Raw genomic sequence first — 23228 nt, forward strand, 5'->3', positions numbered from 1 at the left:
CAGAGGTTGCGGTGAGCCGAGATCGTGCCATTGCACTCCAGCCTTAGCAGCAGCCATTGCAGTCTTTTTAGATGCTTGCTTAGCCTTTTTTGCTTCCTTAGCAGCCCTGATAGCTTGTTCTCGTCGAGTCTTTCTAACTTCAGGTTTCTGATTCCTCTTGGCCGTTATATCAGCAAGAGATGCACCAGTAATGGCCCTCTGGAATTTGACTGCTCGGCGGGTTCTTTTCTTTTGAATTTCTTCCGACTGCCCCTTTTTGTGCTTCCTTCTGTAGAGGACAGTCCAGTTTATCTGCCGAGGATTCCTCTTGGAAAGGAACGCCAACTCGCATTTCGCATTAAGAAACTGGAAAACCTTCCCGTCGGTCCTGGCGTAGCGCCTCCCGTGTCCGGGGTAGATCTTGTACCCGCTAAAACTGCACAGCTCGACCTTCATGGCGACAGCTCCACAGAAAGACAAAAGATGGCGAAAAGTCTTTTTTAATTTTTTAAAAAATTTATTTATTTATTTTTTTGAGATGGAGTCTCGCTCTGTCACCCAGGCTGGAGTGCAGTGGCGCGATCTCGGCTCAGTGCAAGCTCTGCCTCCCGAGTTCACACCATTCTCCTGCCTCAGCCTCCTGAGTAGCTGGGATATCAGGCGCGTGCCACCACACCCAGATAAATTTTTTTTTTTGTATTCTTATTAGAGACGGGGTTTCACCGCGTTAGCCAGAATGGTCTCAATCTCCTGACCTCGTGATCTGCCCGCTTCGGCCTCCCAAAGTGTTGGGATTACAGGCGTGAGCCACTGTGCCCGGCCAATTTTTTTTTTGAAACGGAGTTTCATTCTTGTTGCCCAGGCTGGAGTGCAATGGTGTGATCTCGGTTCACCGCAACCTCCCCCTCGCAGGTTCAAGCGATTCTCCTGCCTCAGCCTCCTGATTTGCTAGGATTACAGGCAGGCGCCACCACGCCCAGCTAATTTTTTGCATTTTTAGTAGAGACGGGGTTTCTCCATGTTGGTCAGGCTGGTCTTGAACTCCCTACCTCAGGTGTTCTGCCTACCTCGACCTCCCAAAGTGCTGGGATTACAGGCATGAGCCACCGCACCCAGCCTCCAGGGAACAAGCATTTCTGGCAACTTGAACCCAGGAGGCGGAGGTTGCAGTGAGCCGAGATGGCACCACTCATTCCAGCCTGGGCGACAGAGGGAGACTCCATCTGAAAAAACAAAAACTAAACCATATGTAAAACAAACATTGTTTTGGTCCAGAAAGATGGGACAACTGGAGGTGAGGAGGCTTGGGGGCTTTCAGATCACAGGTGGGAGACAAAGGGTTGCGTTCTTTTGAGTTTCTGATTAGTCTCTCCAAAGGAAGCAATCAGATATGCATTTATCTCAATGGAGGCAGGCTCTCCCCAAGCTCTCAGCTTGAATTAACACTGACATTTTAAAATATCTAGCAAAGACAAACATAAAATTTAGACAAAACCTATGCTGACAAATCTGAAGGCCTTTTTATTTTTATTCCCCCAATAATTTTAAAGCTGGCTAGTTTAGTAAAGTTATACTTAAGTGGACTTGAAAATTGCTTAGACGTATTTACTTAATTACTTAAGCCCTCTTTTTTTTTTTTTTTTTTTTTTGAGACAGGAGTCTCGCTCTGTTGCCCAGGCTGGAGTGCAATGGCACGACCTCAGCTCACTGCAACCTCCACCTCCTGAGTTCAAGCAATTCTCCTGCCTCAGTCTCCCAAGTAGTTGGGATTACAGGTGCCCACCACCACGCCTGGCTAATTTTTGTATTTTTAGTAGAGACAGGGTTTCGCCATGTTGGTCAGGCTGGTCTCGAATTCCTGAGCTCATGATCCACCTCAGCCTCCCCAAGTATTGGGATTACAGGCGTGAGCCACTGCGCCTGGCGGAGCCCTCTTTTACTTATAAGTCAATTTGGTAGACACAACATATAGCAGTAAGTGTACATATAAGTAAATACATCTAGACATGTATATGCACACATAAACGATGACCTGGAACGTTAGCCATGAGATGGCAGTACAAGCTTGAAGGTTTTACTTTGCCCTAATGGATAATGCAGGGAAGGCTGTGAACCAAAATTTTGGGTAAAGCAGTCTCCATGGCAGTTTTATTTTTATTTATATTTATTTATTTTTTGAGACAGAGTTTCTCTCTTGTTGCCCAGGCTGGAGTGCAATAGCGCAATCTTGGCTCATCGCAACCTCCGCCTCCCAGATTCAAGCGATTCTCCTGCCTCAGCCTCCCAAGTAGCTGGGATTACAGGCATGCACCACCATGCCCGGCTAATTTTGTATTTTTAGTAGAGACGGGGCTTCTCCATGTTGGTCAGGCTAGTCTTGAACTCTCAACCTCAGTTGATCTGCCTGCCTCAGCCTCCCAAAGTGTTGGGATTATAGGTGTGAGCCACCGTGCCCGGCCAAAGTAGTTTGATTGATTGATTGATTTTTGTTTTGAGACGGAGTCTTGCTCTGTCGCCCAGGCTGGAGTGCAGTGGCGCAATCTTGGCTCACTGCAACCTCTGCCACCCGGGTTCAAGCGATTCTCCTGGCTTAGCCTCCCAAGTAGCTGGGATTACAGGCACGTGCCACCATGCCTGGCTAATTTTTGTATTTTTAGTAGAGACAGGGTTTTAGCATCTTGGCCAGGCTGATCTTGAACTCCTGACCACGTGATCCACCTGTCTTGGCTTCCTAAAGTGCTGGACAGTTTGATTTTTAAAGGCTAAACCTCCCCAGGCTCCAAGGAGCACTGGGGCCAAACAGTACCAAAGGAGAGCATCACCCGTTAACCAGGCCCCCTGCTTAGAAGAGTAGCACAGACCGGGCGCTGTGGCTCACACCTATAATCCCAGCACTTTGGGAGGCCGACGCCAGTGGATCACGAGGTCAGGAGTTTGAGACCAGCCTGACCAACATGGTGAAACCCTGCCTCTTCTAAAAATACAAAAATTAGCCGGGCGTGGTGGTGAGCGCCTGTAATACCAGCTACTCAGGAGGCTGAGGCAGGAGAATTGCTTGAATCTGGGAGGCGGAGATTGCAGTGAGCTGAGATTGCACCACGGCACTCCAGCCTGGCGACAGAGCGAGACTGTGTCTCAAAACAAAAACAAAAACAAAAAAAAACCCTGCAGTTGCTTCCATGTTTAGGCGCTGCCCACCAAGGGTCCCAAGTTGGAAAGGAAGGAGGAGAGAGGCAGAGAGAGAGAGAGAGAGAGAGAGAGAGAGAGAAGCGCGAGAGCGGCCCTGTAATTGAGCAGAAAGGAAAGGGAGAAAAATGAATCCCAAACTTTGGGCTTACCTCTTTCTGCTGGCTGGCTCGCCAAAATATGTTAACGGTAGAGGATGTCCAGGTTCTTGGCATCTTGAACAAACAATTGGACAAAATGCACAAACAAAGCAAGAAAGGAATGAAGGATTTTATTGAAAATGAAAGTACACTCCACAGTGTGGGAGCGAGCATGAGCATAGGGGCTCAAAGGCCCTGTTACATTTTGTGAGTTTAAATACCCTCTACTTGGGGTACACCCTATGTAAATGAAGAGGATGAAGTAAAGTTACAGTTACAAAGTTATTAATGGCGGGCATACGCCCTATGGAGAGGATATTTCCCGTTATAACTGAAGTGTGAATTGGCCTTATGTTCCCTGTCTCTAGACCCTATTCTCCTGCTTCCTGTGAAAGCAGAGGGTTTTGTTTGTTTTTTGCTTTTTGTTTTTTGAGACGGAGTCTTGCTCTGTTGCCCAGGCTGGAGTGCAGTGGTGCACTCGGCTCACTGCAACTTCCGCCTTCCCGGGTTCAAGCGATTCTCCTGGCTCAGCCTCCGGAGTAGCTAGGACTACAGGCGCGTGTCACCATGTCCCAGCTAATCTTTCTTTATTTTTAGTAGAGACGTGTTAGCCAGGTTTCACCGTGTTACCGTGTTACCGTATTCCAGCCGGGCTCCGCCCCTGGATTCGGTGGACAGACCAGCTTTACCTCCAGAGACTCCCCCTGTCTTCCCTGCACCGGCTGACTATACCTACACACTTCGGTGGCACAATCTTTGTTTAGATATGCTGATGCCTTCCTTCGCTGGGAACGGTCCAGTCCTGCCCGCCTGGCGCTCAGCTCTGCGGATCTCAGGGGATGGAGTGGCAATCTCATTGCTCCCGCCTCTCCTGACCCCTCTCGCCTTCTCCTCGAGACCCGGGTTAAGTGGGCAGAGGGCTCCGAGGGTCCTCTCCCGCCGTGGGATTGCACAGAGGGCTGGGTCCGCAGGCTGGCTAAAAGGACCTAGCCCAGGATTGCGAGGCAGCGCCCTCCCTGCAGCTGGACAGACTCGGGCGCCCGGCCCAAAGCCCGGCAGGGGCGTGTCCGCGCGCTCACCTGCTATTGGCCAGGTGGGGCTGTCGGCTGCCAGCAGTGCTTATGCTTTAAGTGCGGAGCGGGTGGCTGCGGAGCCAGGCGCGGCGCAGGATGGTGGACAGCGTGTACCGGACCCGCTCCCTGGGGGTGGCGGCCGAAGGGCTCCCGGACCAGTACGCGGACGGGGAGGCGGCGCGCGTGTGGCAGCTGTATATCGGAGACACCCGCAGCCGCACCGCCGAGTACAAGGCATGGCTGCTTGGGCTGCTGCGCCAGCACGGCTGCCAGCGGGTGCTCGACGTAGCCTGTGGCACTGGGTGAGCCCAGGCCGGGGCCGGGGGCGTTGCATGAGATCGGGGTCTGTCTCAGCCTGTACTGCGCGGCCGCAGAACCACAGGGCCGGGCACGTCAGGGCGGCCTTTGCCAATCCTGGAACGGGTGGGACACCAGGGCCAGGAGCAGGTACCTGCCCGGCAGAACAGGCACTGCGAGTGCCCCGTGAGGCTAGGGGTCCAGGTAGCGGTTCGCAGGGAGAGGCCCCGGAGAAGGGAGACTGAGTGTGAGTGAGGGTGTGGGCAGAAAAAGTGAGCGTCCCTGAGGCTTTGGAGCCAGAGCCACGGACAGATTGCAAATATTCCTCCTGTGATGGCCTTGGGCAGTGTTAACAGTTAACATTGCTCAACATTTGCACCTGCCAAGCCCAGTGCCAGGAGCTTTTGATACATCACTTTTTCAAACCCTCACAAAGCCCCATGAAGTTAAGCAGTGATATTCTCTCATTTACTACTGGGGAAGTAAGGCCTCAGCAAAGTAAAATTCCCTCATACATCATCCAGTGAAAAGGAGCTAACAGGCCCGGGTTGGTTAAGATCTGTCCTGTGCTCTATTTTTCTCTTTTTTTTTTTTTTTTTTTTTGAGATGAAGTCGTGCTCTGTCGCCCAGGCTGGAGTGCAGTGGCTCCATCTCGGCTCACTGCAAGCTCCGCCTCCTGAGTTCATGCCATTCTCCTGCCTCAGCCTCCCGAGTAGCTGGGACTACAGGCGCCTGCCACCACGCCCAGCTAATATTTTGTATTTTTAGTAGAGACGGGGTTTCGCCGTGTTAGCCAGGATGGTCTCGATCTCCTGACCTTGTGATCTGCCCACCTCGGCCTCCCAAAGTGCTGGGATTACAGGCATGAGCCACCGCGCCCGGCTTTGTCCTGTGCTCTAAACCACCATGTTCTACTGCCTTTTGTGCACACGTATTTTAACTTCAAGGAGCCTCAGCTTGTCTGTCTCTCAAATGGGAATGACACTATTTACCTCTCAGGATTGCCATGAGAATTAATGCATATTTGTAGAGTGCCTGGCTCTGAAGAGGTGCTTTTAAAAAAAAGTTGCCTTGTGGTGACAGGAAACAGATTTGTGAGGTCAGTGGAGAGGGCCTGGGGAGAGGAGGCAGAGGAACGGACTCTGAGAAGTAGAGACAAAAGTGTCCAGTGCAGGGTCTCCTCCTGGCCCTCCCAGGCTCCCCTAACTGCCTCTCTCTGCCTCTCCTCGCTGGCCGTACTCAGGGTGGACTCCATTATGCTGGTGGAAGAGGGCTTCAGTGTGACGAGTGTGGATGCCAGTGACAAGATGCTGAAGTATGCACTTAAGGAGCGCTGGAACCGGCGGCACGAGCCCGCCTTCGACAAGTGGGGTATGCAGGTCTAGCCAGGCTCCCCCAGCCCAGTCACCAGGAACACTGTTCATTCTGCCTGGGGCTCCTTTAAGTGGGGGCGGGGGTGGAGTGTTGTGTTTTCCTCGGGGAGACAGAAAAATTACTGTCATTTCTCTGAAAAGCAAGTCTTAAGCTCCAGAATGAGACACCGGGTGTGAAGAGCTGGTTTTAACTGTGTTTGTGGCATCTTGTCCCTCCCCTCAAAGAAAAACCCATAAGCACAGAGCCCTCCTTCCCAACCAGGGTTCCTTCTCCCTTGATCCCTCTTTTCTCCTCCCCCTAACTGAACGGGGAGCTTGTGTGTCTTAAGAAGAAACCCAGGCAGGACTGCACTTGGTGGAGGTGGCTGCTACTGGTACCATCGTGCCTCCCTGATTCCTCTTTCTCTTCCTGACCCCTAGTCATCGAAGAAGCCAACTGGATGACTCTGGACAAAGATGTGCCCCAGTCAGCAGAGGGTGGCTTTGATGCTGTCATCTGCCTTGGAAACAGTTTCGCTCACTTGCCAGACTGCAAAGGTAAGAGAGGGTGTGGCCTTGGGCATGGCCCCCGCCTTGAGGCCCCCTTCCACAGACATCTGGCACCTGCTCTCCTGCCAAAGCAGACTCTCTGCCTTGGCTCTGGCACCCCTGGGGAGGGGAGAGATGGGAGGGAGACTGGTGCTGGGGGCCCTGAGCAGATGGAGTCTTTCTGCCCGTGCCTGGAGCTCAGGGGACCAGAGTGAGCACCGGCTGGCGCTGAAAAACATTGCGAGCATGGTGCGGGCAGGGGGCCTACTGGTCATTGATCATCGCAACTACGACCACATCCTCAGTACAGGCTGTGCACCCCCAGGGAAGAACATCTACTATAAGGTGGGGCCCTCTGGGGTGGGGGTGGGGGTGGGGGTGGGGGTGGGGTGGAGGGAGGGTCCAGTGGCCCCAAGGTGGGTTACAGAGGCTAATGCCGGCTGCCCCACCACCTACAGAGTGACTTGACCAAGGACGTCACAACATCAGTGCTGATAGTGAACAACAAGGCCCACATGGTGACCCTGGACTATACGGTGCAGGTGCCGGGGGCTGGCCAGGATGGCTCTCCTGGCTTGAGGTACCACTTGGCTTAGTGGGGGTGAGGCGGTAGTTGGGGGAGCTGAGGTCACCAGTCCTCATGGTTGCTGGGGCCTCTGTTACAGTAAGTTCCGGCTCTCCTACTACCCACACTGTCTGGCATCCTTCACGGAGCTGCTCCAAGCAGCCTTCGGAGGTAAGTGCCAGCACAGCGTCCTGGGCGACTTCAAGCCTTACAAGCCAGGCCAAACCTACATTCCCTGCTACTTCATCCACGTGCTCAAGAGGACAGACTGAGTGTGGCCTCAGCTCCCACAAGCCTCTGCCCAGGCACTGCTAGGCTCTGTCTGGAAGATGGGGACCAGCAGCCCCACACCAGGGCCAGCCTCTAGAGCAGACTACAGCTGGGGTGCAGGGATGTGGGTTCCACAGACGGAAGGGTAAACAATATAGTCTTTTTCAGTTCCTGCATGCATTGTGTTTATTTATGTCAGAAGGATCAGGCTCCCATGCTGCCCACCCCCCCACCCTCTCCCAGGGCTTACTCCTCCCACAACCCTGCTCTTTCTCACTCCAACCTTTCATGCCACAACACCAGTAGGGGGCGGGACATGCTTTATTTTCAGCCACAGAACTAGCCCTCTCAGGGCCCAATCCCCAGAACCCAAGGCCCTGGCCCTCTTCCTGAGTAGATGGGCCTTTCTCTTAGAGCCGGCCTGGAAGGAGGGGCAAGTAGGCAGGAGATATCTCTTGAGCTGTTGCTGCTGTCTCAATGCCACTTTGCACCCTGGGATCTCCTGGAGGGAGGTGGCCTCCAGGTGGGTTGGCAGCAGCCTGAGGAGGAGCCCTTCCTTCCCAGATCTCTCTGTGGGCTATCAAGGTACCTGCAGCCATGCTGAGCGGGGTCCCAGACCCTGGGGGGCTCCTAGCAGGCAGCAAACTTGCGCTGGATGCGCTTGTACCGGAGCAGCTCCTGCTCACTGACTGAGGGTTGCAGCCGGGCGGCAGCCTGCAGCAAGTCCTCCATGGTGAGCATCAGTGCTGAGCTACCTGGCTCCAGCCCTGGAGATGACAAGGTGGGGAGGCTGTGGTCTATGCCCAGGCAGGGGAGAGCCCTGCGAAGGTGGCTTCCTGCTCAGGGTCTCCTAGATGTCAATGATCTTCCCTCTGGAATCCAGGACTAGGTTTGTCTCCCACTAGTTTTTTTTTTCCCTTAAACATTTTTTTTAGAGTTGGGGTCTCTCTGTGTTGCCCAGGCTGGCCTCAAACTCCTGGGCTCAAGCGATCCTCCCACCTCAGCCTCTCAAGTAGCTGGGACTCAGGTGCACCCAGCTCCCCACTAGCTTTTTGGTTGACCTCTCAGACCGGCAAGTGGCTCACCTTCCTCCAGGTCATGAACCCTGCGTTTGAGGGCAGCTGTCATAGCATCAGAGCAGAGAGAGTAGAGGTCCGCGCCCGTCAGCTGGGGAGGGCAGCAATCTAGCACGTTTACCAGGCTCACAGATGGCTCTAGCTTGAATCTGTTGTGGGATACAGGAAGAAACAGAGTTGGCATCACCTCCTCCCTCGAAAGCCAGTGCTGACCAGCTCATCCTGCATGTTGCATGCATCCCCTAAGCATCCCAAGGCCCAAGCCCTTCGCAGTCTTCCTCTAACAGAGCATACTTGCGTGTGATGGCACTTAGAACGCGTAGCTGGGAGGCCCGGTCCTCATTTGCCCCCACAAACACCAGCTTGTCAAATCTTTAGGGAGATAGGCAGGTATAAGTTTCAGGGAGCCCAGCCATGAGGGGTGAAGGAGGCACAAAATGAGGGTGGAGATGAGCAGTACAAGGGGCCCACCTGCCAGGCCGCAGAAGGGCAGGGTCCAGGAGATCTGGTCTGTTGGTGGCTCCAATCACAAACACATCCTGAGTGCTGTGCAGCCCATCTAGCTCGGCAAGGAGCTGAGACACCACCCTGGAGAGAAGGGAGCAAGGGCAAGAGTCCTTGGTGTCCCCCTTAGACTCTGCCCCTGCCTGTGGTACCTCTCTTTACAGGCAGTCTCAACAGGGCCCTCCACTCAGCTGTGCCCAATGTGCCCCACCAGGTAGGCCCCCATTCTCCTCAGTGGACCCTGCCCAATTTCATGGCCCCTTTCAGCTTCCATTATATTATCTCAGAACTGAAACAGCAGGAACTTCTATCTCTGGACTCTGAAGACTGCTGTGAGCTTTCTCATATCCTTCCCACCCTGGACCCCTCAGCTTTCATTCCCACTCAGACCCCTACCTGTCCATCACTCCTCCAGAATCTCCACTTCGCCCCCGGCTTGGGGCCAAAGAGTCCAGTTCATCAAAGAAGATAATGCATGGAGCTGCAGCCCTGGCCCTGGCAAACACTGAAGAGAGAGAGGGGCCCACAGGAGGGCAAAGCTCGGCTTGTGGGGGGTTGAAGTTAGGTGAGAGCAGGGAGGGAAACTGGGGCCTGACAATACAGCACTGGCATCCCAGGTACTAGACCCAGCTGGGCAGGAACCTGACTTGTAGAAAGGAGGATTAGGAATGATCATGAGTAGCCTGGGAGTAGGGGGTGGCTTGGGGGCCATCGGGGTTTGGGAAGCATGGGACGCCCTGCCCCTCCCTGCTCACTCACCTTCCCGCACATTCTCCTCACTTTGGCCCACATACATGTTAATGAGCTCTGGCCCCTTCACGCTGAGTGAGAGGATGTGAGAAGGTGAGAGCCGTCAGATGCACATACACACAATTGACCTCTTGGGCAGCCCCTCCTGCTCCCCAGCCTGCTGCAGCCCCTGATCCACCCACCATCCCTTCCAGGCCCCCTGGCCACCTGAGGAAGGTAAGGCTGCACTCAGTGGCTACTGCCTTGGCCAGAAGGGTCTTGCCGGTGCCAGGGGGCCCATGGAGCAGAAGGCCTGAGCGTCTCAGGCCCAGGCTCAGTAGCTCAGGGTGCTCCAGGGGGAGCTGAATGGTCTCCAGGATCTCCTTCTTCACCTCCTGCAGCCCACCCACATCATGCCAGGACACTGAGGGGATCTAGGAGATGGAAAGTGCGTGGTTGGGATATGCTCTTGGAGGGGCTCCTGTCCCACCTCCAAGGACTTGGTCTCCACCTTGGGGGCTCCAACGGCCTGGGAGTGAGCTGTCTGCAGTTGCTCCAGTGCCTGCCCAAAGTCCTCAGCCAGGAGAGGAAAGCCGGCAGCACACAGCTCCCCCTCATCCTCCTCAGTCAAGCCACCTGCCAAACTGCAAAGAGGAACACAGGGAAGCCTCCTCACCATCAGCGTCCCATTCCCTTCTCCCTTCCTCACCACCCACCCATCTACATCCATTTCCTCTTTCCGCCTTTCCGGTGCCCACGTCCTCTTACCCTGAGTTCTTGATCCTGGTGCAGGCTGCCCGGCTGCTGTGGGTCAGAAGGGCATAGAGATCCCCTACCACAAAGCCCTAGGGAACCACAGGAAAGGACACATGAGCAGGGCACAGTAGGCAGGAACCTTCAGGGACCGTCCCCCAGCTAGAGCAGAGGCCCTCTGTTGATGCCTTAGGTTTGTTGTTTTTTTTTTTTTTTTTTTTTTGAGACGGAGTTTTGCTCTTGTTGCTCAGGCTGGAGTGCAATGGCGCGATCTCGGCTCACCGCAACTTCCACCCGGGTTCAAGCGATTATCTCACCTCAGCCTCCCAAGTAGCTGGGATTACAGGCATGTGCCACCACACCTGGCTAACTTTGTATTTTTAGTAGAGACGGGGTTTCTCCATGTTGGCCAGGCTGGTCTCAAACTCCCAACCTCAGGTGATCCGCCCACCTCGGCCTCCCAAAGTGCTAGGATTACAGGCGTGAGCCACGGCGCCCGCGCTGGGTTTTCTACTCTCACTCACAAGGCAACAGGACTGAGTTCTTGTAACAAAAGCCAGGGACCTCCTAGGGAGGGCCAGTACTCTCCCTTGATACTCACTGCACACCGCCGTGCTAGCTGTGCCAAGTTCACCTCCTGGCCCAGGGGAAGGTGGGCAGTGAGGGCCCGCAGGATGCTGAGCCGCTGCCCCTCTGACAGAGCAGGCACCTCGAGCTCATGAGGAAATGCTGTCTGCACATCAGCAGGCAGGTCCTGGGCCCGGCTTGTGGTGGCCACAACCATGAGGGGAGGGCAGCTGCAGACAGAGGAGTGGGCACTGAGGGTGAGAACATGGCTGGCAGCTCCTGTGGACTGCCTTGTCCCAAAGTCGGCACAGAAGGGCAGGGAAGTGAGGTGGGTGCTAGGATGGGGTAGGGAGATGAGCATCTACCCCAGTTCCTAGATGGGGGAACTGTGTTTCCCCCATCACATTGAGGGCAGAGGCTTTTTCTTTAACCGAGTGTTCCCCAAGAAATGCTAGACCACAGACTCCTCCCTCTGGATCCCTCTAAAGACACGGAGCTCAGGGCTGTCTAGAGGGCAGCCAAATGGATGGGAGATGACTGAGAAGCCACTGAGGGGTGAGAGAAGGGAGGACTGAAAGGCTGAAAAGTAGGAGGGCTGGCCCCCCCGCTCCCCCTTTTTTTTTTTTTTTTAAGACTGAGTCTTGCTCTTGTCGCCCAGGCTGGAGTGCAATGGTATGATTTTGGCTCACTGCAACCTCCGCCTCCTGGGCTCAAGTGATTCTCCTGCCTCAGCCTCCCAAGTAGCCTGGATTACAGGCACCCGCCACCACACCCAGCTAATTTTTGTATTTTTAGTAGAGACAGGGTTTCACCATGTTGGCCAGGCTGGTCTTGAACTCCTGATCAAGGCAGGTGATCCACCTGCCTCGGCCTCCCAATGTGCTGGGATTATAAGTGTGAGCCACCGCGCCCAGCCGGCCCCCCCAGCTTTGAGAGGCCCAGCTCTGTATAAGTACCTGTTGAGGGGGTCCTCATTGAGGAGGAGGTGACGCAGCACAGCCATCACACGGGCATCCTCACCCAGCCCATCACGGTCCCGGCCCAGAAGGTCCACAGCTGTGAGCAACAGGACTGCAGGCCGGCAACGGCGGGCCCGGGAGAAGATGGCCTGCAGTTTTGTCTCCACAGCCCCACTACTTTCTGCACAGAGGCTGGAGCAGGGCACCTGGGGAGGGGATCCCAATGGGTCTGTGAGCAAGGGGAAAGCATGACAAGGGCAGGAGAATCAGGGGAGGAGGAGGTGGAAGATGTGGGCCATCTTTTTCTCTGGAGGGCAGGGACAGGGAAGGTACCCTGGCCAAGTCCTACCTCTTTTTTACCCTATCCCATTCCCTGGACTGTCCACCAATATCTTGCAACTCCCTCCTCCTTGAAAGTACCTCTCCATAGCTCAGCATCATGGGAATATGCCTGACCCACTGGGCTGAAGTGCTAGGGCCTGTGAGTAGACAGAGGAGGGAGGGGAGAGGAAGCAGCAGAGAGGGAGAACATGAGCTGGGGAGGGGAAGTAGCTGGGGTTCTACTCTCCAGAGACCCTCACCTTCAGTAAGTGGAGCCCAAGGTGACTACAGGCAGCAGCAACTACTGTGGTCTTCCCACAGCCTGGGGGGCCCCGTAGAAGGACACTGCTAGTTCCTGTCAGCAGGGCACCCCTGCAACCAGAGAACAGACATTCGTCTCCTTCATTTTGCCCAAACATTAGAGTCCCCAGTAACACAAGATCCCTTAGATCTAGAAAGCAGATACCCTGTTTTTCTCTCCTTGAGCCTCCCTGACCCCAGGACAGGGCTGTCCCCATGTAGTGAGGCTGTGTCTCCCACACCACCTGCGGTGCTCTGGCCGGGGCATCCAGCATATCCAACAGCCAAAGACTAATTAATTCCCTTTGGCATTGCTGTGCTGCCAATAAAACCTCAACGTTATGACTGGTCTGAATGGTATTGAGAGACATTGTGGTGGCACTGAGGTGGGGATCTGCGTCCACACCTGGGCCACTGGTATGAGGAGTTGTGTCCTTCAGGGCCAGGGCAGTAAAGTGCAGGATGGCCAGTGAGCTCCCCAAGGGGAAGGGCAGTCTCAGAAACAGATGCCCCTGCTGGAGATTCTTCCTCCAGAGCCAGCCCTGGAGGACAGAGGTTATCCCAGGAAAGGAGCCTGGGAATTGGCTTACAGAAAGGAGTGGCCTGGTGGCCTTGTGTAGGACATACTGGTTTGAGGAAGGTCCTCCCAATCCCACTCTGGCCAGTTCATTAGGAACTACCCATCTGGCTGCTGCTCCTCCAGGGATGTTCTAAGCAGGCTTTTCTCACACCCTGGGGTGATGACCTCACTCACCCTGGCTGGAGGCGAGGCTTCAGGACAGCACAGAGTTCAGACACCAAGGCCTCCAGGCCTGGAGGAGACAAACTGCTCCAGAGAGTGGATTCCTCTGAAGGGAGCCATGGAACAGGGCTCAGGGTAGAACCCACCTGTGAAAGGTAATAAAAAGCTTTCGTTTCTAAAAATCGTTTCTACCCCCTGCGCTGGTCTACACCCATCCTTGGGGCCTCACCATGTACAAGGAGGTATGGGTGGTGTCGGCCAAGTAGGCACTGGCTGGTCCATCTGGAGCTTCCCCAACTGTTTTCTTCACTTTAAAAAACATTTCCCGCCACCTGCAGGAAAAAGGCCCAATGAACCCCAGATCCAGAGTCCAAAAACCCCCCTCCTCAAGGACAAGGTTTCTCAATCACAGAGGACAAACAAAAGCACCACAAGAGCGTGTCCCGAGTCATGGTGGGGAAAAGGAATGCAGATGGACTTTCTCATCTTCCTGACAGACCATACACACCTTGAGGGCAAGAGCTATGCCTGTCCCTCTGCATCCCCCATGACAGCCATGAGAGCTCTGAGGGGGTGTGTTTCTCCAGGCATGTGGCCTACCCACCCACACCAATGGGAGAAGCTGCTGCTGCACTAAGCAGTGGATCATCTGATTACTTCTACTGGCTTCGGTCTCCCCCTCAAATACACAGCCATCCAGGCCCCAAAAACCCTAGGGGGAAGGGTCCCTTGGCTCTTACTCAATAATCCACAAAATCTCATTGCAGGCGGAGTCCTTAATAATGCCATCTGATGAATAATGGTTCTGTATTCTGGCTGCACATTGGAATTATCTGTGTAACTTTAAAAACTAAACATTTCTCACATATTATATGATTCTATTCAGCAGATCAGCAGTTGCCATTGCCTATGAGGGAAGCTACAGGGAATGACTGCTAATGGGTGCAGAGTTTCTTTTTGAGATGTTGAAAATGTTCTGGAATGAAACAGTGATGTTGGCTGTACAACCTTATGAATAAAAAAATTGAATTGTATACTTTAAAAGTATGGTTTTATGGTGTGTGAATTTTATGTTTTTAAAATTAACCTTTCTCCTTCCTTTGTGAAGGAAAAAAAGCACAGGCTCCAGTCTCACCCTGATTCTGCCCCAATAGATCTGGGGTGGGGCTTAGGCACCTGTATTTTTTGAAAGCTTCCCCAGCAATTCTGATGCATAACCAGGGCTGCGCAGTAGTTGGCGAGTGTCATAGTGAGTTAGGGTTATTCAACCTACTAACGGGGAATAGGATGGGTAGCAGGAACAGCTACTAACCCAATTTTCCAGATAAAGAAATCATGAACTACTTCCCTCTTTAATCCTCAGGCAGCAAGGCAATGACAGAGTCAGGCTATAACCTAGTCCTCTTTAAGGTCCAATCAGGCTGCAAATTCCTCTGCTCACACTGCCCCACAGTCTCAAAGCTGCTCTCTCTAGCAGCAAAGGGGTGTGAGAGTGCAGCAAGGTGGAGGGGAAGCATACCAGGTTAGTATTATGAAACTCTTCTAAGTACTACAGTAAACCTGGAACATCAGGAAGCCTGAATCTGCCTATAATTAATTATAAATAGGTGACAGTGGGCCTCTAACCTAGGATCTCGATCAAGCTCAACAGCTGAGTCATGGTGTGTATGACTCACCATGGAAGCCCTGCATAGGAATGAGATGGGGGACAGCACTGTGGCATAGGGAGAGACCACCTTCTTCAGTGGAGGGTGGTTGGACCACCTCAGTGAATAGAAAGGCCAGAGCTCTGGAACCTATGTGGACACTGCTAAGGAACACTGAGCTGTGCTCCAGCCAGCCAGATAGGTGATAGTGGAGCTGGCTCCCATGCAGCCTGGTTTGGGGAAGTGGAGCACCAGGGACAGGATGAAGAGGCTACACCAACAGTGGAATTCCTTTCCAGGGCTCACAGGAACTTCTGCAGGGCTTCCCTTCTCAAGCCCAGTGCAGCTTAAAACGCTCATCTGTATCTGTCCTTGGACCCATTGGGCCACTTACTCCAACCCTGCTTTCCTTGCGGGGAAAAGAACTATGTGCTCGGCACTCAGGAGGAAAGCAGGGTTCTACAGAGTTGAGACAATAGAAGTTCAGGAACAGAACTGGCTTGCCAGCCTGTCTCATGAGGTTCTAGTGCCTATTTTCCTTTGAAAGTACAAAGAGTGGGCATTCTGTAGTTTTCCTACTGAAAGCTAGCTCAAAGACGTTTGCTAAATTTATGATAGGAGAGAGAGGTGGGAAGTGACTGCTAAGTGCCAGCCTGGCATTTTCCACCAGACTCGTGGACTTAATCTGGAAAACCTCGAAGAGGTGACATGGAGCCTAAATGGGGTTCCACAGAGCACCACCACCCTGAGACTGGGGGTACTGAGCACTGGCCAGAACCAAGCACTGGATATTGACCAGGGATGAACATCAGGCACTCCAAACAAGGACTGTCTCTCCTGGCAGAGGACCCAGGCTGGCTATGCCACAGACCTTGGACATGAAGGCTCTTATGTATGAGTTAGTGCATCTATCAGCTGTGCTCTCCTTCTAGTAAACTGCTGCAGGAAATGAGTCCAGAATACAGGGAATGCTGGGATACAGAGCTATACATTTTCCTCCCTACACATAAGGCTAAAGCAGTGTCTCAATTCTTTGCCTCACCATTTTACATGGAACCTCTGTGGTCAGAGTCAACAAGAGGAGAAAAGCTGGATTCCTTATTTTGGGTTCTTGGCTCGGTTATGCTCTATTTCTCATTCTCTGTTGATAGGACAGGGTAGCCCTCTCAAAAACAATAGAAATCCCTGGCTGGGTGCGGTGGCTCACGCCTGTAATCCCAGCACTTTGGGAGGCCGAGGCGGGCGGATCACAAGGTCAGGAGATCGAGACCATCCTGGTTAACACGGTGAAACCCAATCTCTACTAAAAATACAAAAAATTAGCCGGGCGTGGTGGTGGGCACCTGTAGTCCCAGCTACTTGGGAGGCTGAGGCAGGAGAATGGCATGAACCCGGGAGGCGGAGCTTGCAGTGAGCCAAGATTGCGCCACTGCACTCCAGCCTGGGCAACAAAGCAAGACTCTGTCTCAAAAAAAAAAAAAAAAAAAGAGAAATCCCTCTCCTGTTTTCAGAGATAGGATTGAGAAGTAGTTTGTGCACACTCCGTAGTTAAGGCAGAAATCAGAGCCTGTATATCCTTACGTTGAGATATGGATGGTATGGCCCAAGTCTTGGTCCAAATAACACGAAGGCTAAGAACGGAAAGGAAGGAATCCCGTCTTGGTCTAGGCCATTAAACTCTTCTTTAAAAAGAAAAGAATTTAAATTTTACCTATTTATTTATTTTTTGAGATGGAGTCTTGCTGTGTCACCCAGGCTGGAGAGCAGTGATGCGATCTGGGCTCACTGCAACCTCTGCCTCCCAGGTCCAAGTGATTCTCCCGCCTCAGCCTCCTGAGTAGCTGGGATTACAGATGCCCACCATCACACCCGGCTAATTTTTGTATTTTTAGTAGAGACAGGGTTTCACCATATTGGCCAGGCTGGTCTTGAATTCCTGACCTCAAGTGATCTGCCTGCCTCAGCCTCCCAAAGTGCTGGGATTACAGTCGTGAGCCACCACACCTGGCCTAAACTCTTCTTAGTGCTTTGCTTTACATAGGGCCACCAGTCAGTTTGAGGATAAACACCTCCCAAAGCCAGCAGGGAGTGGTTCTTTTAGTTTGCTTGTTTTTTGAGACAGTGTCTAGCTATATTGCCCAGCCTCCTGAGTAGCTGGGATTATAAGTATGCACTACCATGCCTGACTGGTTCTTAACCTTTCTTCAGTCATACACTTGTTTGGGAACTGAAGGACAGGTGAATTTTCTCTCCAAAAAAATGTACACAGGCTGGGGGTGAGTGGTGCACACCTGTAATCTCAGCACTTTGGGAGGCCAAGGCAGGCAGATCACTTGAGCTCAAGAGTTCGAGCCCAGCCTGGTCAACATGGCGAAACCCTATCTCTACTAAAAATACAAAAACCAATAGCTGGGCGTGGTGATGCGAACCTGTAGTCCCAGCTACTGGGGCAGAGGCAGTGCTGAGGTGGGAGGATCACTTGAGCCATGGAGGTAGAGGCTGCAGTGAGCTGTGTTTGCACCACTAAACTCCAGCCTGGGTAACAGAGCAAGAACCTGTTACACACACACACGCACACACAAAATACATGACAACGAAATCCTCTTGGGCACAAATTACACATGATTTGCAGGGAGGGGATTGTAGAACTCATGCACCCAGGTTACAAATCCCAGCTGTAGGACAGAAGGCAGCTGCATACCTGGGCAGTTTCTCTGGACTTCCTTCCAGGATCTCTACTTGCCCAATTGTTGGCACACATAGAACATCCCCTTCCTGGACTACCCTGCAACACAGCAGTGGCCCTGGTCAGGTCACAATGGGAGTAATGAGCATGTGTTCATTACCACATGTCCACCCCCGACATGCAGACTACTTCTTGAGTCTACTGCCCGCCCAGAGATCCCACGCAGTTCTCCAAGGAACAAGTCAGTCTTAGGATGAGCTAGGGGAAATGGTGGAGAGACTAGAAAGGGGGATCAGAGACAGATGAGTGGCAGAGCAGGATCCTGGCTCTTTTGGAGCCCTCTTTAATCACAGGTGTCTCTGTTTGGAATGTCCAAATTAACCTCATGGTTCAGATTTCTCTTCTGTGGTCTCCCTGATATACCAAGAGGCGCCTACCACAATCTGTCTGAAATGTTTTTTTTGTTTTTTTTTTTTTTTTTTTTTTTTGAGACGGAGTCTCGCTCTGTCGCCCAGGCTAGAGTGCAGTGGTGCGATCTCGGCTCACTGCAAGCTCCACCTCCCGGGTTCACGCCATTCTCCTGCCTCAGCCTCCCAAGTAGCTGGGACTACAGGCGCCCACCACCACACTCGGCTAATTTTTTTTTTGTATTTTTAGTAGAGACGGGGTTTCACCATGTTAGCCAGGATGCTCTCAATCTCCTGACCTCATGATCCGCCCACCTCGGCCTCCCAAAGTGCTGGGATTACAGACGTGAGCCACAGCACCTAGCCGCAAATGTGGCTTCTTTTAACCAGGGCCTCTGGGGTACTTGGTTCTAAGGCATGGGATAGGAGGAATGTAATGAGGGTGAGAAGCTATCCTCCTTAAAAGGTTAGGTAGCTAACCTGGGTATCTGAAAGTGCCGGTAAAGAACACCGTCATAATTTCCATTAGTGCTGTAGTGGGGAGAAGACACAATTTCGATGTGTAACTCTCTGGCAAATGGAGGCCCAGGCAGCAATGAGCAGCTTCCTTTGTCTTCAGGGGCGATGGAGCCTTCCAAGTACCTCTATTAGAGAAATAACCACCACGTTATAACCTTCTCCTAAGGGGGCAGGCTCTAACCTGTCTCTCAGCAGCCAACATGTCTATTTCCATCCTGTCTTTCCCATAACCACAAGGCTTGTGGAAGGTGGGGCCTGAGGTAGCAGACCTGAAAACCTCTCCCTCTAATGGGTACCAGGAAGAGAATATCACCTCCTATCCCGACTCTGGCTCCAAAAAATTTTCTCAGTAAAGATAACCTTTCTGTGACACTTTCAACTTGGCCCAGAGCCAGTGAAATGGTAAAGACATTTATTCCCACAAGACCTATTAGTGACACCAGGCATCCACAGGGATTAACATTAAGTGGTCATTAGTGGGGAAACTGAATTCAGGCTGTGGGAAAAGCTGAACGGGTTGGTTCAGTCATTGGTTGGTTCAATGAGCTCTACTCTTGAGTACCCCAGTAGTTTTTCCTCCATTCAGGAGGAAACCTACATCCACTCCCTTTCACATGTATTTCACATGTATCTCTACCTGACATCCCAAAGTATTAACTGGTTACTCTAGTACTGCCCAGTAGAACTCTCTACAATGGAATAGTCTATATCTGCATGTGCTATTGAGCACTTGAAATGTGGCTAAAAACAAAACAAAAACAAAGAAATGTAGCTAAAGCAACTAAAAAACATGATTTAGTTTTTTTTTTTTTTTTGAGACTTAGTCTCACTTTGTCGCCCATGATGAAGTGCAGTGGCACAGTCTCGGCTCATTGCAACCTCTTCCTCCTGGGTTCAAATGATTCTCTTTGTGCCTCAGCCTCCTGAGTAGCTGGGACTATAGGCATGTGCACCACCATGCCTGGCTAATTTTTGTGGGTTTTATTTTTTTCTTGAGATGGAGTCTCGCTTGTCACCCAGGCTGGAGTGCAGTGGCACCATCTCGGCTCACTGCAAGCTCCGCCTCCTGGGTTCAAGGGATTCTCCTGCCTCAGCCTCCAGAGTAGCTGGGACGACAGGCATGTGCCACCACACCTAATTTTTTTTTTTTTTGTATTTTTAGTAGAGACGGGGTTTCACCGTGTTAGCCAGGATGGTCTCAATCTCCTGACCTTGTGATCTGCCTGCCTTGGCCTCCCAAAGTGCTGGGATTTAATTTTTGTATTTTTTAAAATAGAGATGGGGTTTCGCCATGTTAGCCAGGCTTACTTTATTTAGTTTTAACTAAATTTAAAAATTTAAAAAGCCACAAAGTGGCTGGTGGCTTCCATATTGGACAGCACCATCTAAACCATATATCTAGGTCCTTAATTAAACACTATACTGTATTTGTCCCCCTAAACACAACTTTCATTTTTTTCTTTTTTTGAGACAGAATCTTGCTCTGTCACCCAGGTTGGAGTGCAGTGGTGTGATCTGGGTTCACTGCAACTGCCACCTCCCAGGTTCAAGCGATTCTCCTGCTTCAGCCTCCCCAGTTGTTGGGTTTACTGGTGTGCACCACCATACTGGGCTGATTTTTGTATTTTTAGTAGAGATGAGGTTTCACCATGTAGGCCAGGCTGGTCTCGAACTCCTGACCTCAAGTGATCTGCCTGGCTCAGCCTCCCAAAGTGCTGGGATTACAGGCATGAGCCACTGCGCCTGGCCTTTTTTTTTTTTACACAATGAAGGTTTATTTTTTTGTCACTCTTATGTCTGTTATGGCGAACTGGTGAGTCTTTACTCAGTAACCCATGGAAATGGAACAACTATTATCTGTTCTACAACTTTCTTCTTGAAGTAAAGGCAGAAACCAAAAACTTTCCTTGGATGTATTTAATAAAATATTAAAACTAAACACCAGGCACCAAAGATAATAAAGACTCCTTTCCTTCAAGGTATTTACAATATATAATTGGGGATTAAACAGATTATGTAATCATAACAAGATAGAATAAAATAAATGCCATAAAAAAGATAGAAAATGCTATAGGAGGAAGTTCTAAATTCGTGGCTGTGAGATCATGAAAGGCTTTGTGATAAAGGTGTCATCTTTAGATGGCTCTTGAGGGAAAGGAGGGTAGGATTTTAACAGATGAGGCTAGAATAATAGGAAACAATTTGAAGTCAAGGATAAGAATGAGCAAAAGCACAGAGACATCATCCTCCATATTATAAAGCACAATACTGAATACATTGTAGCAATTCAATAAACTAATTAGATTGAGTAGATTAACATACACATCTGAAACCTCACTTTTTTTTTTTTTTTTTTTTACACAGAATTTCGCTCTGTCGTCCAGGCTGGAGTGCAGTGGTGTGATCTGGGCTCACTGCAACCTCCACCTCCCAGGTTCAAACAATTCTCCTGCCTCAGCCTCCCAAGTAGCTGGGATTACAGGCATGCACCACCACACCCAAACTTCACCTTTCACCTGAATGGATGAAAGCCTTTTGTATGCCCCACTACATTATGGAGGCTTATGATATTTTGATTACAGAATATGGATCAATAGGCCGGGTGAGGTGGCTCACGCCTGTAATCCCAACACTTTGGGTGGATCACCTGAGGTCAGGAGTTCGAGACCAGCCTGACCAATACGGTGAAACCCCGTCTCTACTAAAAATTACAAAAATTAGCCGGGCGTCGTGGCGCGAGCCAGTAGTAGGAGGCTGAGACAGGAGAATCGCTTGAACCTGGGAGGCGGAGGTTGCAGTAAGCCGAGATCGCATCACCACATTCCAGCCTGGGTGACAGAGCAAGACCCCATCTCAAAAAAAAAAAAAAAAAAAAAAAAAGGAAAGAAAGAAAAAGAAAATAGATAAATGAGGCTAAGAAACATTATGCTTTTTTTTTTTTTTTTTTGAGACAGAGTTTCACTCTTATCGCCCAGGCTGGAGTCCAATGGCGCGATCTTGGCTCACCGCAACCTCCGCCTCCCAGGTTCAAGCGATTCTCCTGCTTCAGCCTCCCAAGTAGCTGGGATTAGAGGCATGCACCACCACGCCCGGCTAATTTTACATTTTTTTAGTAGAGACGGGGTTTCTCCATGTTGGTCAGGCTGGTCTCGAACTCCCGACCCCAAGTGATCCGCTCGCCTCGGCCTCCCAAAGTGCTGGGATTACAGGCGTGAGTCACCGCGCCCGGCTAGAAACATTATGTTCAAAGTCCGGGATGATATGGGGCACGAGTCCTAAATCTTCCAATTTACCTAAGACAGAGAAGAGGGTATAAGAAAGAGGAAGCACTCCTGACCCCAGTCCTTTATCCTACCTGAATTCTGAGCTCTCCCATTTCCAGGGGGTCACAGCCAAGATTAAAAGCCAAAGTGGCAGGGACAAGCGCCAGTCCGTCAGCGAGGGGCTCTCCCAGCGGTCCAGAGCCGGGTCCCAGTCTATCAGAGAGGTCCCAGCGAGGTTCTAGGACCTGCACCCTAGCCAAGTGCGGCTGTGAAGTGTTCGATGACTCTCTGGCCTGGGCCACCCACACCCATTCGCCCTGGAAGAGGCCAAGGCCACGGAGACAGCTCCGGCTCACCCCTAGTGAATCTCCAGTCCCTCCCAGAACTCCCTGGAGTCGCCGCACTGTGCCAGAAACCGCAAAGGAGGACACCACGGGCGGGGGTGGGGGCCGACTGCTGTCCCCAGACTCTGGACACAGTCTGGCCCGCCCGCGGAGCTCAGTCACAGCCAGCCGAGTCCCTGGGCCCAGCAGCCCTTGCAACGCCGGCCGCGTCTCCAGCACCCGCGGTCCGGGCACTGGGAGGGTCTCTCCGCGCCTCACCAGCAGCGGCCCGACTCGCGGTCCGAGCCCAGGCCCCAGCGAGGTGCCAAGCAGTGCCCAACCTAGCGCCGGGGGCCGCCGCACCGCCCGCGCCCGCACCCAGGCCCCGGAGCCCAGTGCCAGGAGCCGCAGCAGCGCGCGGCTAACCAGTAGCTGCGGCGGCCCGGGACCCTGCTCTTCGGTGCCCGCGTCCGGCCCCTCCAGGGCTGCCACCAGCAGCGCCGGCCCTGCCGGGCTCTCCCCTGCAGGCCTCAGGGCCAGCACCAGGCCCAGCTCCGCCGCCGGCCACGGGCCCCCGGGTGGCAGCAGCACTGCCAACGGGGGTGTCTCGGTCGGAAAGGGCTCCAGGACCCGCAAGACAGCCAGCGCCATGGTGACAGGACACCAACGAGGAGGGTGAAGGAGCGCAGCTTCCGGAGCCAGAGAGCCAGACGACTAGTGTGCGCGAGGGCCGCTTCCGCTTCCGTCAGGGGAGGCCAGAGGAAAAGGGGAGGGGGGTCGGGTGCCGCGAACTTGCTCTGAGGGGGTTAGCTGCGCCTCGGATTGATCTGCGTCGTGCCTCGATAGGCAGTAACCTTCATCGCTGCGGTTGCGTAGCGTTTACCCATGCGCCATTTGAACTTGTGCTTAAGGGATTTATCTTTGCCTTCTACGGAAGTAATGTTCTCTTAACTATTTTTCCCCGTGGCATGAACGTAACAGTTTATTGACTGATAAATGAACAGTCAGCATGCTCGGGATGA

The 23228-nt window shown here is 52.3% G+C and overlaps 3 protein-coding genes and 1 pseudogene across 15 annotated transcripts in view, besides 7 other annotated features; 2 read left to right on the plus strand and 2 right to left on the minus strand.

Moving 5' to 3' along the window:
• The window catches only part of CNPY3-GNMT (CNPY3-GNMT readthrough), a 34401-nt gene extending 26814 nt beyond the window's left edge, over positions 1-7587 (plus strand). For 2 of the 6 annotated variants that reach the window (NR_134890.2, NR_134891.2), the window contains 3 exons: positions 6469-6585; positions 7035-7156; positions 7242-7587. Coding sequence is in view for 3 of the 6 variants with exons in the window: in NM_001318856.2 (NP_001305785.1) it covers positions 5919-6046; positions 6469-6585; positions 6779-6921; positions 7035-7156; positions 7242-7413 (682 nt within the window). In the remaining 3 variants the exon portion in view is untranslated. Of the gene's footprint in view, positions 1-5918; positions 6047-6468; positions 6586-6778; positions 6922-7034; positions 7157-7241 lie in introns of all 6 variants that reach the window. The other 4 variants (NM_001318856.2, NR_134892.2, NM_001318857.2 and 1 more) reach the window with 4 other exon arrangements.
• On the minus strand, positions 41-473 carry RPL24P4 (RPL24 pseudogene 4; annotated as a pseudogene).
• Positions 4180-4681: an enhancer, noted in NCBI's record as "H3K4me1 hESC enhancer chr6:42928211-42928712 (GRCh37/hg19 assembly coordinates)". NCBI's record gives its function as "activates a minimal SCP1, AML or CMV promoter by ChIP-STARR-seq in naive H9 embryonic stem cells {active_cell/tissue: H9 hESC(naive)}" and the evidence as "EXISTENCE:reporter gene assay evidence [ECO:0000049][PMID:30033119]".
• On the plus strand, positions 4461-7587 carry GNMT (glycine N-methyltransferase). 3 transcript variants are annotated; one of them, NM_018960.6, is made up of 6 exons: positions 4461-4680; positions 5919-6046; positions 6469-6585; positions 6779-6921; positions 7035-7156; positions 7242-7587. In NM_018960.6, exons 1-6 carry the CDS (start codon positions 4475-4477, stop codon positions 7411-7413), a joined length of 888 nt encoding a protein of 295 aa, NP_061833.1. In that variant the 5' UTR covers positions 4461-4474; the 3' UTR covers positions 7414-7587. The 3 variants fall into 3 exon arrangements, 2 of the variants coding, with proteins under 2 accessions (NP_061833.1, NP_001305794.1); NM_001318865.2 differs by having other exon boundaries at positions 6836-6921; NR_134899.2 differs by lacking the exon at positions 6779-6921.
• Positions 4860-4909: an enhancer, noted in NCBI's record as "active region_24581". NCBI's record gives its function as "activates an Ori minimal core promoter by ATAC-STARR-seq in GM12878 lymphoblastoid cells {active_cell/tissue: GM12878}" and the evidence as "EXISTENCE:reporter gene assay evidence [ECO:0000049][PMID:35858748]".
• Positions 7572-22888, minus strand: PEX6 (peroxisomal biogenesis factor 6). 6 transcript variants are annotated; one of them, NM_001316313.2, is made up of 17 exons: positions 22240-22888; positions 18582-18745; positions 17710-17793; positions 13592-13694; positions 13375-13508; positions 12581-12692; positions 11997-12205; positions 11075-11270; positions 10489-10565; positions 10232-10364; positions 9949-10154; positions 9751-9812; positions 9388-9496; positions 8959-9075; positions 8782-8859; positions 8497-8636; positions 7572-8178 (listed from the first exon to the last, which is right to left on the minus strand). In NM_001316313.2, the coding sequence occupies exons 1-17, from the start codon at positions 22855-22857 to the stop codon at positions 8042-8044; spliced, it is 2679 nt and encodes an 892-aa protein (NP_001303242.1). In that variant the 5' UTR covers positions 22858-22888; the 3' UTR covers positions 7572-8041. The 6 variants fall into 6 exon arrangements, 5 of the variants coding, with proteins under 5 accessions (NP_001303242.1, NP_000278.3, XP_011512963.1 ...); NM_000287.4 differs by having other exon boundaries at positions 21976-22888; XM_011514661.3 differs by lacking the exon at positions 17710-17793 and having other exon boundaries at positions 21976-22888.
• Positions 11648-11844: a silencer, noted in NCBI's record as "fragment chr6:42935679-42935875 (GRCh37/hg19 assembly coordinates)". NCBI's record gives its function as "represses an EF-1alpha promoter that drives an FKBP-Casp9 reporter gene in an ReSE screen in K562 erythroleukemia cells {active_cell/tissue: K562}" and the evidence as "EXISTENCE:reporter gene assay evidence [ECO:0000049][PMID:32094911]".
• Positions 14229-15099: an enhancer, noted in NCBI's record as "H3K27ac hESC enhancer chr6:42938260-42939130 (GRCh37/hg19 assembly coordinates)". NCBI's record gives its function as "activates a minimal SCP1, AML or CMV promoter by ChIP-STARR-seq in primed H9 embryonic stem cells {active_cell/tissue: H9 hESC(primed)}" and the evidence as "EXISTENCE:reporter gene assay evidence [ECO:0000049][PMID:30033119]".
• Positions 15100-15968: an enhancer, noted in NCBI's record as "H3K27ac hESC enhancer chr6:42939131-42939999 (GRCh37/hg19 assembly coordinates)". NCBI's record gives its function as "activates a minimal SCP1, AML or CMV promoter by ChIP-STARR-seq in naive H9 embryonic stem cells {active_cell/tissue: H9 hESC(naive)}" and the evidence as "EXISTENCE:reporter gene assay evidence [ECO:0000049][PMID:30033119]".
• Positions 22148-23089: an enhancer, noted in NCBI's record as "H3K27ac-H3K4me1 hESC enhancer chr6:42946179-42947120 (GRCh37/hg19 assembly coordinates)". NCBI's record gives its function as "activates a minimal SCP1, AML or CMV promoter by ChIP-STARR-seq in naive H9 embryonic stem cells {active_cell/tissue: H9 hESC(naive)}" and the evidence as "EXISTENCE:reporter gene assay evidence [ECO:0000049][PMID:30033119]".
• Positions 22460-22839: a silencer, noted in NCBI's record as "silent region_17210". NCBI's record gives its function as "represses an Ori minimal core promoter by ATAC-STARR-seq in GM12878 lymphoblastoid cells {active_cell/tissue: GM12878}" and the evidence as "EXISTENCE:reporter gene assay evidence [ECO:0000049][PMID:35858748]".

This window comes from Homo sapiens, chromosome 6 (genome assembly GCF_000001405.40).
Source record: "Homo sapiens chromosome 6, GRCh38.p14 Primary Assembly".
NCBI classification, from domain to species: domain Eukaryota; kingdom Metazoa; phylum Chordata; class Mammalia; order Primates; family Hominidae; genus Homo; species Homo sapiens.